The following is a 14,941-nucleotide window of genomic DNA, read 5'->3' on the forward strand; positions in this document are numbered from 1 at the left end:
TGATGCAGCAAAATTCACGGTTGTTTTATGTGAAGAAATTGCTACAGCCACCTTAGCCTTCTGTAACCACTGTGATCAATCAGCAGCCATCAACATTGAGGCAAGACCCTCTACCAGCAAAAAGATTATAACTTGCTGAAGGCTCAGATGGGAGGATCCCTTGACCCCGGAGATGGAGGTTAGCATTTTTTAGCAATAAATTATTTTTTAATTAAGGTATGCACGTTAGCTTTTTCAGACATCATGCTATTTGCATACTTAATAGACTATAGTGTGATGTAAACATAACATTTTATGTACTCAGAAACCAAAAAAATGTGTGTGACTCTATGGCAATATTAACTTTATTGCAGTGAGCTGGAACTGCACCTGCAGTATCTCTCAGGTATGCCCATAGTTTGATTTACCAATCTTTTGAGGGTTAATCCTACAGAAGGGGTAAATAAAGTTATTACTGTGGCTTTCAGGTGAGTTTAATTGTCTTCAATATTGCAGCCTTTGTTCGGCCCTCCTGGAAAGGTAAGCAGTCATCTTAGGGAACAAATTCAGGAGAGGCACTGAGTGTCACTGTCAGCCTCTGAAAAATAGATGATCTGGATTAATGACATAACGGTCTAGTATCATTTCACCATTTCATTGTACAAAAGGGTAATATCTATATTGGCCAAGCTGTATTTTATAGCTTTTCTAAAACTATTTTTTGGGTGTTGATATATATCCAAATTTGTTTTTATTCAAAACCAATTTTTTAATTTTTAAAAACCTTAATAATGAACCACGAAAAGACAAAACATCTGTGTTCTGTTTAGCACTTCCTCCTCATCAGCCAAGCACCAAGACTTGCTCTTCCCTCCTCTGTCCTGTTCTCTCCTGGTCCCTTCCTGTGTCTGCATTTCCACTGTAGATACAAGCTCATGGGTGAAATTCGGGAGTGTTTCCTCCGTGTTTCCTTCAAGGAGTCTCAATAACTAGTACACGTTAAATGTATATCAACAACTGAAGTTTGTTTGGTAGATGATCATCCAGAGAAGGCGTCCATTAGGATCAGAATAGAGTAAGGAGTCCTCAGAGAGGCGACAGGCTCCAAACTGGTTTTACAGGTGACTGGGATTTGGAAATAACTGCTTCTGCTTGTTACAGGCTTACTATGGACCACATGTATTTTATAAAATACATCATTTAATTTAGTCCTTATAATAACCTCTTCCATAGGTTTTCACTCTCATTTTTCAGGTTCTTGTTTTGCTCAGAACAAATCCTAGTGTTCTTTATCACCGTAAGATGGCTATAGTTAACAATAATATATTAGTTAGTTTCAAATAGCTAGAAGGAGGATATTGAACATTCCCAATACAAAGATAAATATTTGCGATGGTGGGTATGCTAATTAGCCCGATCTGATCACTGTTCATTAGATACATCAAAACATCACTATGTAACCCATGAATATGTACAATTATTATTTGTCCATTAAACAAAACAAAACAAAAAAGTAAACCAAAACCTGAAGTCATTTAGTAACTTATTCAAGGTTACACAGCCCACAGCTGACAGGGCTGGGATGTAAATCCAGCTCCGCAACCACCCTTTACCACTGTCATTCCCCTCTCCCTGGAGAGACAGAGTTTTCCTCAAATTTAAAAATAGGATACAGTGACTCCTATTCTCCTTGTGCCTGGGTTTGTATTGAAAATAAAGTGGAACAGTTTTCCTGAGAGTACTTTGAACAGCACACGCGCTGTGGATATATGTAGTACCATGTTATAGTATTTAGAAAAGGAAAAATTGTTTTGAGTACCAGTTCTAACACTAAGCATTTGTATGACTTTAAATCAATTTCCTCTAGGTTTCAGTTTCCTCATCTATAAAATAAGTAATGGGTTACATGTGAACAATTACTGCATGACATGCGAGTATGTGTTACTTATTCACACCTTAATAACTGCAGAGTCTGGAGCTTTGTTGGGTGATAGCAGGGAAAAAGACACCCGGCGGGTGGTCACTGTCTGTACTCATGTCAAGAGACATGAGATGAGTCACCACATGCAAAGACACCGGAGGAAAGGGTAGAAGTCAGGACGTCGCATAGATATTAAAGTCCGTGCTGTCTACGGGAAATTTCATGATGCTTATCACAGAAATCTCTACCAGGATAAAATGATAGCTGATGCCAGAGAGAAGGAGAGACAGCCTCCTCCTACCTGCAAGCAAGAGTGTGAGAGCTTGTCATCAAGGAGCTTTGCAATCATATTTGCAGGTGGAGTTGCAGGTACCTGGGTGTCCTCATTCTCACTTTCATCATCCATAAAGCTAAATTTTGAAACTCATCTTTAGAGGCAATTTTAAGTATAAAAATTTCCTTTTTATTGCTCTCTAATTTTATTATGTGTATTAGAGAAATGCTTTTTCTCTACTCCCTTTTCAGAGAACACATTTTATAAAAAGTTATTTTGATACGGCAGAAGGCTACGACAAAAGCTCCAAATCTTGCACTACAAAGATTCCAGAAACACAATTATTATTAATGTCTTAGTCCATTGATTCTAGACAGAAAAGCTCAATAGGAGCAGACAAACACATTTGCCTCTTCTGAGAATACAGACAGAAATATTTGGCGTGGGGAATTTTGAAAGCAAAACAATGAGGGCAAAGGAGCTTAGGGAAGTCAATGTGTACTTGCAAATCCAAGGCCGTTTCCGATGCTTTGAGTGCATCTTGGCAGATGCTTCCTATGGTAGGTTAATTTGCAAAAACGTGAAATAACAGAAACCTACCCATTAAATCCTCCACATTAAGTCCCATTTGGAAATGGGCATCAGAGAAAGCTATATAGCTGCTGTGAAGATCAGGGGATAATGTGTTTTGTTCTGCAGAGTTATTTTATTGAAGCATAATTTGGTGCTCTGGGTTCTCACTGGTGGACAGCTATCCGTTAAGATCACCTCCCTAAGGTTACAATTGCCCATTCCAATGTTTGTTAATAAGAGACTAGGACTTTGATTTGGCTCACGGACAGTAAGTCAGGTCCATTTGTTGCAATGCATTATTTAAGAGCTGTTTGCAGCATATTACGGTCGTAATGGCTGCTATTATCAGGTGGGATATTACAATGAGGAGTCCACTAACGTAATGTGGTGAACTCCCAGAGAGACAGACTCTACTTTTTGGGAACCACAGAGTCTTCACTGGTAGCTGCCAAATAGCGTTTTTGGCAAATTACGGTCACAGAACACTCTCAGAAATACTCTTTGGTGGACAGTAAGAAATGCAAATGGTAATTACCTCATCGAATAATGATTGCTCTGGACAGACCCTGAATTGTGATGTATTGTAAAGACGAAACCATCAGCCTTATTTATGAGGCACGGTTTCAGTCACTCACCAACTATTGAGATGATTTTGGGCTGGGTGTGCAGATAGATTTTTTAATTGCATGTTACTGTTGTAGGTGGCTGAGCATTGCCTTTCCTGGACCCAAGATCAGGTAATCCTGTTTTAAATGCTACTATATTCCTTCTAGAAAGAATGCTTCCTTATCACCATGGCTATCAGTAGGTCCGGGGCTGGAGGGCTGGGCTCGTGCAGCAGCTGGGCCAGGGTGAAGTCTTCTTCCAAACAGATCTCCCTGCAAGGAACTTAGAAATTCCTCTGCCCAGGTCATCAGACCTGTCTTCCTGGCAACCCCTGTTAGATTTGACCTAGATGGGAACGGATTCTGAGTCTACGCTCAGTCTGTTCAAATTTGAAGCTTCCTGCTCTGCCAACATCTGACCTTCACCTTTCTTTCCTGTCTCTTAATGGCCCCAAGTAGGAATTGCTGTTCTCCCCTGATAGGATGGGAATCTGGGCTCAGCCTGCCCCAGATTTTTCCCTTGCATTCTGCTTCTCTCAACTGCCTGTCACGAATTTGCTCTGTCTCCTAGTCTAGATATGTAAGCTGCAGGTCAGCAAAATAAGAAACACGTACACACCTCTGTGAGTTATTCACAGCCACCCAATCTGAGCCTTCTCAGCACAATATGGCACAGTGGTCCCCAAGCCATGGGGTCATCTACGGCAAGAAAGAAAACAACCCTATTTTGTAGGTTCTTTAAATCATCGTAGATGCTGAATAACATTACATCAAGGAGACTTATCTGGGGGGAAATCTGTTGTTATTATTTGTAAGACAAAAAGAGGAACAGTGTTTTGTTTTTTTCCAACTTTGGATTAGCCCTTATGTCCTCTGAAACTAGAGGCCTCTAAGAAGTACTCTGGATTTAATTTTTTCTTCAAGTATTCACTTTTACTTGATTGGCCCGTCAATGAACCATTGATTAGGGTCTATTTGTCCGCAGGTCCATTTAATTCTGAGGACCGTGCAATAACAAAGAAAGAAACGCCTCCACACACAGCCATATGGCCCTGGGCAGATGTACTCTAAGTTGTTGAGTGCCTTCTTGTAACCAACAATGATTTTTTTTTTCCTTTTTGAGTATAATACTTACCAAATGCCCTGTTGTGACAGTAAACACTGAATAAAGCTTTTTTCATGTGGTGAACCTGGCTGCAGGGGAACATCCTTGTTTTAGGGAATTTTGTACGGAGTTGGGTTTTCCCTGAAAATAAGTCATGATGTTTTTGTTATACTGTGAGGTAAGGCACACCTGTTAGAGCAAGCTATATATGCTCTAAGCCTCTTTGTTGCTTTTGAGAAATATTTTTGTTTTTCCTCCTAAAATGAAAATCAGCCCAGAAAAGGAAGTCAAGGAGAAACAGGGCTTATTGGAAGAGAAAAGCATTTAATAATAGGAAAGAAAAAATCCTTTATAGGTCTTAGGAGATGCTTCCTTTATAGAAAGAAAAATCTGCTTTTCTGTTTCAAAAAGTTAAACTGTATGGGGTCTTCATTCTACATTTTGTAGAATTATCAAAAGAAAGCCCATCTGTAGTGAGAAATCGGAACGTAACCCCTTGTAAGGAATTTTCTTTCTTTGTATGGACTACCAAGATGGAAACTTCCAAAGTGAGTTCCTCTGCTCCTGCCGAGGTTGGAATTGACATTTCTTCTCACAATTACTGAGCTGCAGGTGAGATATCAGCCTCTCACTCCATAGGCCGAGAGCGGCAGCATGGTGTGCGCTCAGACTGGCTTGGCATGGATTTCCTTTCAGGAAATTAAAATCTATCTCCCTTAACAGGGCAACAAAGAGGATGCGGTCACATTTTGCTGCTTCTTAACAGGGCACCACTGACGTCCTCCACTCTCCAAAGGATTCTCTTTTAAAGTTTTTCAGATTTGAGAGATTCTCTTTAACGTGTGTCTGAATTTCAAATTTCTAGGGAGGAAATATCTCATAAAAATGAAAAAGCAACATGAGAGAATAGGTAAAGTGCCAGTGTCTAAAAGTGTAATTTGATATCTGAAAAAAAATCTCAAATTTTGATGATAAAAGCGGTTAGTCATCTAAGTGAAAAAAAAATGACAGGCGGGTGATTTAATTCATACACATTCATCGTTCACTTTTTCCCCTCTTATAAGACATCTGTTGTACACAAGTCACGGTGTAGATTTATGGTAGATATAAAAATGAATAAAGGAAACCTCCAGTGTTTTGCCAAATGAGGTAACTGCTGGTGACATAGAAAAAATGATCTGATATTTGAATATAGTATGGGTGCTTTCTTTTGGTGGAAAGAGTAAAACTATATTTCATTAGATGCTGGAAACTGACATCTTTCATCAAAACTACTAGGAAAATTAGAAGAGACATAATATCAGTGTTCAGGTGAAAAAATAAAAATAATGATAATAACCAATATTTATTATATAAATTCTCTCTGTATATATGTATATGTGTAAAATATTCTACTAAGTGTTTTAGATAACTGTGTCATTCAAGGGCCACACAATTCCTATGAGGTTTCACTACCAAAGAAGGGATTCCTGTTTCTAGAGGCTTAGAATCACATCATGGGGCAGGAAAGAAAAATTGGCTATATATATTCTTGGACTAGATGGTGATGACAAGTGCCAAGATAGTTATTGGGATAAGAACTTGGAAGAAGTCCTACCACCCTTTCACAGAGATTATTTCAGTTCAAATTTTCTCAGAGATCATTGAAAATACATGCTTAGAAAGTCTGAAATGAGGATGCAGGGTATTGATCATCAAATATATTCTCCGGCTGAAGACACACCGGTTCTTGGTTCACTGAATAATAGAAGAGAGAGGAAAGATGAGGAGACAATGCTGAGGCAGGCAACCCTGGCTCCCGGAACCACACGGCTCACTCAAAGTCAAGGGCACAGCACTGATGCTGGGGGTGGCGATTCAGAATTGGGTTGGGGAACCTGCAAGATTTCATAGCAGGGATTATTTCACTGTGTGAACAGGAGAGAGAAAAAAATCTCAAGGAATTTTTGACAGGGTAGAAGGGAAGGTGAAAGCTGGGCAAAAGAAGTATCTGGGAGGATAAAATATAATTTTCTAAATGTTGTAATAAGTAAGAGGCTGCTGTGTGATTATTTCAGGGAACTTGAGCCTTCAGGGTTATTAGACACAACAAAAAGATAAAATGCAGGAATAATCTATGAATCTGTGAAGTTATCAGAACATTGCCAACCGGCCCGTTGGCAATATACAGTATAATGAGTGTTTATCCTGAGAAGTGAGGACTCCATGTTCTTGTTTTCTTCTTAACCTCCTGCCTGCTTCTTCCCTTCCATGAAAACCATCCCAGTGTTTCAGTAAAAAGACTGTGAAGACTTCCGAAGTCAAAGTGACTATAGAAGTAATAAAAATATGAAAGAAATATATGGGTGCAAGTTTTAAAGTCTAAAAAAAATACCTTTCGCTGGAAAAACCCTAAGCTGAAATGCTTACACTATGAAGCATAGTTACAAAGTCAGTGGGATCAGGGTGCTATTGCTATAAGAATTTTAAAATTGCTGGGCGTGGTGTCTCACGCCTGTAATCCCAGCACTTTGGGAGGCCGAGGTGGGCGGATCACCTGAGTTTCAGGAGTTGGAGACCAGCCTGGCCAACAAAGTGAAACCCTTTCTCTACTAAAAACAATATAAAAATCAGCCAGGCGTGGTGGGGGGCACCTGCAATCCCAGCTACTCAGGAGTCTGAGGCAGGAGAATCACTTGAACCCAGGATGAAGAGACTGCAGTGAGCTGAGATCGTGCCACTGCATTCCAGCCTGGGGCACAGGGCAAGACTCTGTCTCAGAAAAATAAAAATAAAAATAAATCTAAAATGCTCAACTCTATATAATTAGTATTTTGACTGGTATAATTAATTTTATTTTAAATTTATCTCCTTACATAGCTTTTATTTGCTATAGTCTACTTATTTTTCATTTGTTATCAATGTTTTTTATAATAAAATGCTTTTGCTTTAATAGTGTAAATGAAACAATAGGATTGTAATAGAGGACATAGTGTAATAAATGCAACAAGTGAACTGGAGCAGATTTTACAGGGACGCCAAAAAGGAGGCAGCTTCCTTCATAGGAGAGTGTAAAAGAAAAAGAGGAAATGTTCTTGATAGGATAAATAGGTTATTTCAACCTGTTAGGAGGTCGAAGGTAGAATGGCTTCTTGAAATGAGGATAAAAGTTAAACAACGAATAGCATAGAATGAAATATGCAGAGCATATTAGGAGAATAACATGCTCCTAATTTTTAATTGCTTTATAACAGCATTTTGCTAAACAATATTTTTTATCTGTTGACAGTTTTCTTTTCTCTTGAACTTTAAAATTGTTTATTTAATGATTATGGGTATATGTATGCATGTGAGCATGTATGTGTGCATTTTTCTCTTTTTTAGTATTTTCCCGGACCGGGGTAGCTTCTGGCCTTCAGAGCCCAAATGCCCTCCCATTTTCGACTGAAGAAAGAAAAGGACGAATCCCTTCAAACACGATCTCTTTCATGAGCTCTTTGATAGACTCTTTTTCTCCTCCTCTGCGCCAAAATGAATCCAACAGAATTTCCGTGGCTCCCTCTCCTTACCCTGACCCCATGTTAATTGTTGCAACAAACGTTGCAACTCCAGTGTGAGCCAGGTGAGCTTCTGAGGCTTTCTAAGAATTGCCACTGCTGAATTATCTTCCTGCACAACTTCCCTTCACTTAGTAGGGTACAGCTTATGCCTAATTGCAGAGACATTTGACCTTACATATATCTTTGAATTATGTCTATCTCTTATTTTTGCTATAAATGGAGTTTGTGTTTTCTTCCTTTTCTCCTGTTATTGTTTGTATAATACACAGGAGGAATATAGTCATGACAATAGTATTTGTAATAGTATCTAATATTCTATGGTGCCTAATATGTCACACAAACCATTCTACATCATACCGTATGCCATTTAATCTTCATAACACCCTATGAAGTAAGTGTAATAGTAAGATAAGCATACAGAGGTATGCAGAAAGTTAAGCAACTTGGCCATTTGCAATGAACAGATAAATGGTGCCATAGGTTATGAAACTAGTTAGTCTGGCTCAAGTCTCTATGCTTTAAACTGCCATGCTGTATATAGCCATGTTTATGGTGGAAGTCTGTTTTGAATATTTGGAGCACATAAGTGGCACCAGGGTGGAGGGAAGGTTAAAGAGGGATAATGCAGTCAACAACAAGGTCAGGGAGGCTGTGATTCTCAAACTTCTGTGAGCACACGGGCCACCAGTGGATGCTGCTGAATGCAGGTTCTGATTCTGCAGGTCCAGGGAGGGGCCTGGGACTCTGCATTTCTCAGGGCTCTTCAGGTAGTGCTGATATACTCTGAAGAGTCAGGAAGTATGATGTTGGTCAGAGGATTGCAGGCAGAGATTAGGAGTGCCTGAGCTAAGGTATTACTTGAGGCAATGAAAGAAAAGAGACAAAAGTGAGAACGCATAGCAGTAGATCACGGAAACTGTAGACAGATTGAATGTGGGTGGTGAGGAATGATGGAAAAGAGTTGACACGGAGTTTTCTAGCCTGGTAAATGCCTTCAACCTCCAATAAATAAATAATAATAAGCTTCGGCGGATGATAACTCGGCGGTGTGGGAGATGTTGAGCCGGAGTTTTCAATCTAGAGTAAGAGCCTCTGTATCCCCACCTGAAACATGGCAGTGGTATGACCATGCGGAAGAGTAGAGAATGGGTATTGGTGAAGACCGAGAGTGGAGCTGGGAGACACGTCTGCGTTTAATGTACGGTAACAGAATATTCAGAGGGATGGGAAGAAATGAGGAGAGGATTATTTTGTATGCCAAGGGAACTGGCATAGAGGAAGTAATTAAGGTGCCTCCTGATGTTCTCTTTCACAATTTGGATTGTAGAAGACATGGATGTCATCGGGGGTCCCCAGTGTCTGAGGAAAGGAGAGGGGAAGGATGACCCGTCACGGTTCAGAAGACAGAGACAAGCCTGCAAGTGTGCAAAGAGGGAAAAGACTGCAGGAAATTCCACTTGAAATGGGCCATAAAAGTGCATCTTTTGTAATATTTCAATGTCTCTCTCAATATTTCCTCTAATCACAACTTTCCAGTTTCAAGAACAAACCTCACTCCTTACTGACCAGTCTCAATATTTGTTTGTTTTCTATAAATTAAAATCCAGTGTGTTGTCTTTATCTGCAATCCCTTCATTAGTTCTTGTCTCTAAAATCAACATACTATCATAGTTATCAAGACCATGGGGTCAACCAAGAAACTGATAGTAGCATGTGTCGTCTAAAGATGAGTGCTGATAACTGGAAGGTCAGGTTTGAAAAACCCTTGTAATCTGTCTGAGAATTGATTTGTCTGTAGCAAGCTCCCATAACTTTTGAAGTGGAAACATTAAAACTCTAAAACAAGATCAGTCTAAACCAGGGATTGACACTGTTTCAGAATTAGGATGCCAAGATGCTGAGCACATTCTTTTCCTATCCTGCTGGCCGGGGAGCTAACACCACAAACAGTTTCCCCTTTTCCACAATAAGCTTTCACCATTCATCAGGATGCCGTTGACTGGAACATGTTTCTCCCATAAATGCACATGATTGTGCTTTACTTCTACGTGGAGGCATCATTAATGCCCTAAGGGAATATGAACTTTAGTGGAGGATAGGGCACTGGAGTAGGTAAATTTACTTTAGTGGGTAACTTTTGTTAAGTGGAAGGCAACAGAGTCACAAGGCATCTGGAAGTTGGGATTTGAAAAGGCGCACGGACAAAGATGACAAATTCCAGGCTTCCCTTTGCCAAATGTCTTTTTGGGCCACACTTTCTGGTATCTACTTTAAATATAAGTATGAGATCTTTGTGCCTGCTCTGTGTTTCCACTGAGGACTAAATATGACAGAAGTATATTTTAATGCCATTGTTACCTATGGCCTCTGCATTTCCTTCCTCCCTCCTTCCCTCCCTTTCTTTCTCCCTCCCTCCTTTTCTTCTTTTTTTTTTTATTTCTTTTGCCTAAGAGAATGGAATCAAATGCTGCTAGGCGAATCACTGCGTTTAATTATCTTGTTCTTGCTCTTTCTGCTTTGCTCTTAATATCTAATCGTATCCTCCTGTTTATTCTCTTCCTCTTTCCTAAGAACAGCACATGAATAAACTTTTAAGAGTGCATTAAGAGTGCCATCAGTCTATTTTGTGTAAACCAAAAATACACAGAGACATTCCAACGGTTATGAAAAATATAGCTGAATTGCAAGTATTCCTATGATTAAGTACATTTTCTTTTGTTTTGGTTAGACTTACCAAATTGCTCCTATTAATATACTGTGCTCATGCATTATGTAACAGCTGAGAGCAAAGCATACACTTCGAGAGCCCTACATTTTAACAAGCTGCATCACTTCCATACAACGTGGGGAGGGTCTTGGACCAAATCCCCACATACTACAATGAAAGGCACCTGTGATACCATGGTGGTGTAAGTAGCCTAGTCTCCTCCTGCAGCTCATAGCAAAATATTTCAGGAAAGTTAATTAAATTTTTCAATATATCTTGAAAGAAGAACAGAGTATTGTGATTTAAAAAATAAATCTGTAAATGGCAGTAATAAAAAGTTTGGAAGACCAAACTTAAGAAAACAAGAAAGGGAAAAATACATTAAGAAGAAAGCCATAATGAATCACAGAATGTTAGAGAGCAAACAGTCCTCAGAGATCATCTGTTGCAAGCCTTCATTTTAGGAATGGGAGAACTGAGCACCACTGATGTTATGTAAGGTTATAGAACATCATCCTAATTCAGATTCCCACTCTGTGGACATAACTCTCTGGAAGAATGTTAGACATTTGTGAATGTTTCATTCATTTTTAGCCTACGAGCGTACTCGTGGGTGCTTTGAAGCAGTAATTTCCCTACAGTAATCTTGAGTGCAGAGGCTATCAGACTGTGCAGAAATTAAGCCGGGCTGTAGGAATTACTCAAAATGGTCTAGGACCTGGGATACTAAAACTTGTAGCTCTAGAAATGCAATTTTGACCATTTACCCACAGGTAGTTAGGCTCTGGGGAACAGAGAGATGCTCAGCTAACTTACAAACCATAAATATAAATTTGTTTATGTACTGAAAGTGGGAATTCATGTGTGAATGCACTCTGTAAAACATGTGGAATTACAAGCATGAGAATTACATTGGGAACAGTAAAGATAATGATAATTATAAACATCATTATTCCTCATGGTTAGGTCCGTGCAGACATCCCAGTATTGTCTAAGGCATTTCCATTAATATTATAGCCTGATTAGATATCCATATCTTCTTCGGGGATGTTGAGGTTCAAATAACCAGCTTCTGGAAACGACCCTCTTGGGAATACTGAAGGAATTTAACCAATCCTTGCTGTACACAAAATGATGCAGTAGACTACATTGTGATTTAAGACTCCTGAGACATGGGTTATAGTCTCAGCTGTGCTATTGGGGGCTTATGTAACCCTGGGAAAGTTAAGAGATTATTCTGAGCTTCAACTTTCTCACCTCTAAAATGCAGAAGTTGATCTTGGCAACTTCCAAAGTTGTTTCCAATGCTCACAGTCTCAGCCTCAAGGGGTTTTCCTTTCCTAGACACTGTAAGCCTTTCTAGTGTCTCCCCATATTTTATTAATACTTGTCACAGTATTACCAGTCATTTAATCATATTTTTATGATATACCGCATTTTAAGTCCACTGTTTTAGCCAAGATTTTCTAGAAAGTAGAACCTGAGGCGCAGATTGAAATGCTGACAGTCTATTTGAAAGGCTGAAGGCAAGGGAAGTGGAGGTGAGGGAGAGGGGGCAATGGGGATGGAAAGCCGTCCAGAGAGAACACTTTGCTGCACCAGCCAGGAATGCATGCTCTGCTGTAAATAGAGACAGCAGGGGGCTGAGTAGTCTTGGTTGCACAACATATGGAACATGTTAAGGAAGATGTGTAAGGAGAAACTATGCCTTGGAGCCATCTCCAGAGGGGGTTTATGAGTCTGCCTGGCACTGGTTGAGCTTCCCCACTATGGACGCTGGCCCCCCTGCACTTCTTTCCTGAGTGGGGGAGAAAGTCACAGTCAAGTAATGGGCTCTTCTCTCCCTGAACCTCATGTCTAGTTGTTATCTCCTGTAAGGCTTCAGCTCACAAATTAGTGACCAAGCCTCAGGCCCCACTAATGTGGTTGGCTTGAAGACGTAAGGGACATTCATCTTCTCTCCCCTTTATTACCCATGTCAGGCTTCCGTTACCCTCACTTTGGCCTGTCTGGTTCATTGCCTGGTGAGAAGACCCAGACCAGGATTGATGAAGGTCTAAACACTTGGGTTATCTCCTTTTGCTGTCTTTTAATTGCTATATTTTTCCCGAAACAGTTACTGCCGAGCCATGGAGGTGCGAAGAGGCTTCCATGCCATCCTTTCCCCTGCCAGCCTCCTCGATGCTGGCCACCCGGCCTCTTCACGGTCATTAGGGTCAACATTCCAGCCAGTGGAGCAACTGCCTTTTCACTCACGGATCCTTTGCCGTGAGGATCTAAAGGTGGCCAGGAGGTAGATGTAGCTTCCACTTTAGTGGGACTCACACTGTATTCTGTGGCATGTGTCTTCCCCTCTCCTGGGAACACTAATCAGCAGAATGCTAGATTAGGGCATCAAGAAGAGCCAATACTGAAAATGGGTCATTGGGTGTGATAAGAAAAAGATGACTTCCACTCCACACATTGGCACAGGGAGCCACTTGGATCCAGTGCGACATCAGTTGGGGCCAAAATTATTTCCCTTCCTTCACCTGGCTTCTCTGAGCTCCTAGACTCACCTGTGGTAGATGGTGGTGTTTTAGGTCTTCAATTATCAGTATCAGCTCAGACCCTATTTGAAACCAAACCTTGAGAGGTCTGGATCATTCACTTTGCCCGTTGAAGAGATAGCCTGGAGAATACCTGTGTCTCTCTTTAGAGAAGGATCAGAAGAATGTTTATGGGTTTGCACAGTCCTTCCTCAAGGAGCAACTTTGCATGGCAGTGGTTTCTGTGCATTAGCTTTCTATACAGATTAAGAGAATCATGTGGCCCCTTAGTCAGCTGTTTGCTCATCTGTCTGATTCCTAGGAAAATCATGGTCTATGATTCATTGCCACAAATAGACACTCAGATTTCCACTCTAGTCTTGCTGCTATTGCCGTAGTTACACTGACTTTGCTTCTGAAGGTAGAGGATTGTCCTGACCTCTGCTTTTCTGTAACCCTGTGATCTCCAGTGACCATGGGGTCTCACTCTGATGGCCATAGCTCTGCGAGTTCTGGCTGGCAGAGGACAATCAGTAAATTGTTAGGATGATGCTGGAGCTGTCCCTCATGGGTGCATCCTCATCCTCATCCTCTGGGATGCACACTATACATGCACTCTAGCTTTCCTGCCTCCAGCCTTCTGGCCCCTCCTTCACCAATATACTATGAAAATTCTGTCAGGTGTACTTCTATTATCGGCCACCATTAAATCACACTTTAGGATGCTCCCTGACATACTTAGGGCCAACTCCAGGGATTCCTGACATCCCATTAAATCCGAAATCATGGGTGAGTCTGCCCTCGTTGAACATCCTCTTCTGCTTAGTCTTCCATTTTGCTCACTTCTGTGTATCTCCCCCCAGTTTATATCCAAATCCATATTAACCACGTATATTTATCCTGTTGCCATGAAAGCAGTTTCTTCCTGAAATAAGGCTGTACTCCCCTGACTCAGGTTTTTGTCCTGGGGCTAAAAAGCTTTGTTGGGGATGAGGTTTGAGGTGAGCAAGAAAGCAATTATGATGCACCTGCTTGAGGTGAGATTCTCGCATGCACATGGTCTCCAAACCATGGGAGCCTTTCTTCTTTGTGCAGTGGGAAGGGCTGTTTCTGCCAGCCAGGAGGGCTCAGTGGCACTTGGGGGTTGAATTGCCAAAATTTCTCAACCTTAAATTTCATGCTTCCCCTCCCACATCCCCCAGTGCTGACTTGGTATGTAAGAGCTGCCTAGGAGTGCATTCACCTCTCTTGTGTCTCAACCAACTTTTCAATCAGGTCCTCATCTTGGTCCTCTGCACACTTTCATCTGGCACTCAGAGGCATGAAACCCTCATTTAAGATGCCACAGAGACCTCCAACTGTAGGTGAAATCTTAGCATCTAATCTGAACCCTTTATTTAGGAGATGAGGGTATAATGAGACGTAGCACTTCTGACTGTCCGAAAAGTACACAGAGTTTCTCTTAAGAAATCCTTCCTTTACTTAATGTTTAAAGAGTAAATGTGCCAGCAATTTTCCCTAAGTAGCAAATAACTAGCAAGTTCTGTGGGAAATTAAAAAAAATAATAATAATAAAAGCAAGAAAATTTTGCTTGTCTTTATAGTCTGTAAAGTGTCTTATACCTAAGTACCTCACTAAATATTAATTACTAAATAATAATGACATGAAGTATGGGGATTTTAGCAGTAGAGTAAAAGATGATGACCATC

Source organism: Homo sapiens, chromosome 8, assembly GCF_000001405.40.
Source record: "Homo sapiens chromosome 8, GRCh38.p14 Primary Assembly".
NCBI classification, from domain to species: Eukaryota; Metazoa; Chordata; class Mammalia; order Primates; family Hominidae; genus Homo; species Homo sapiens.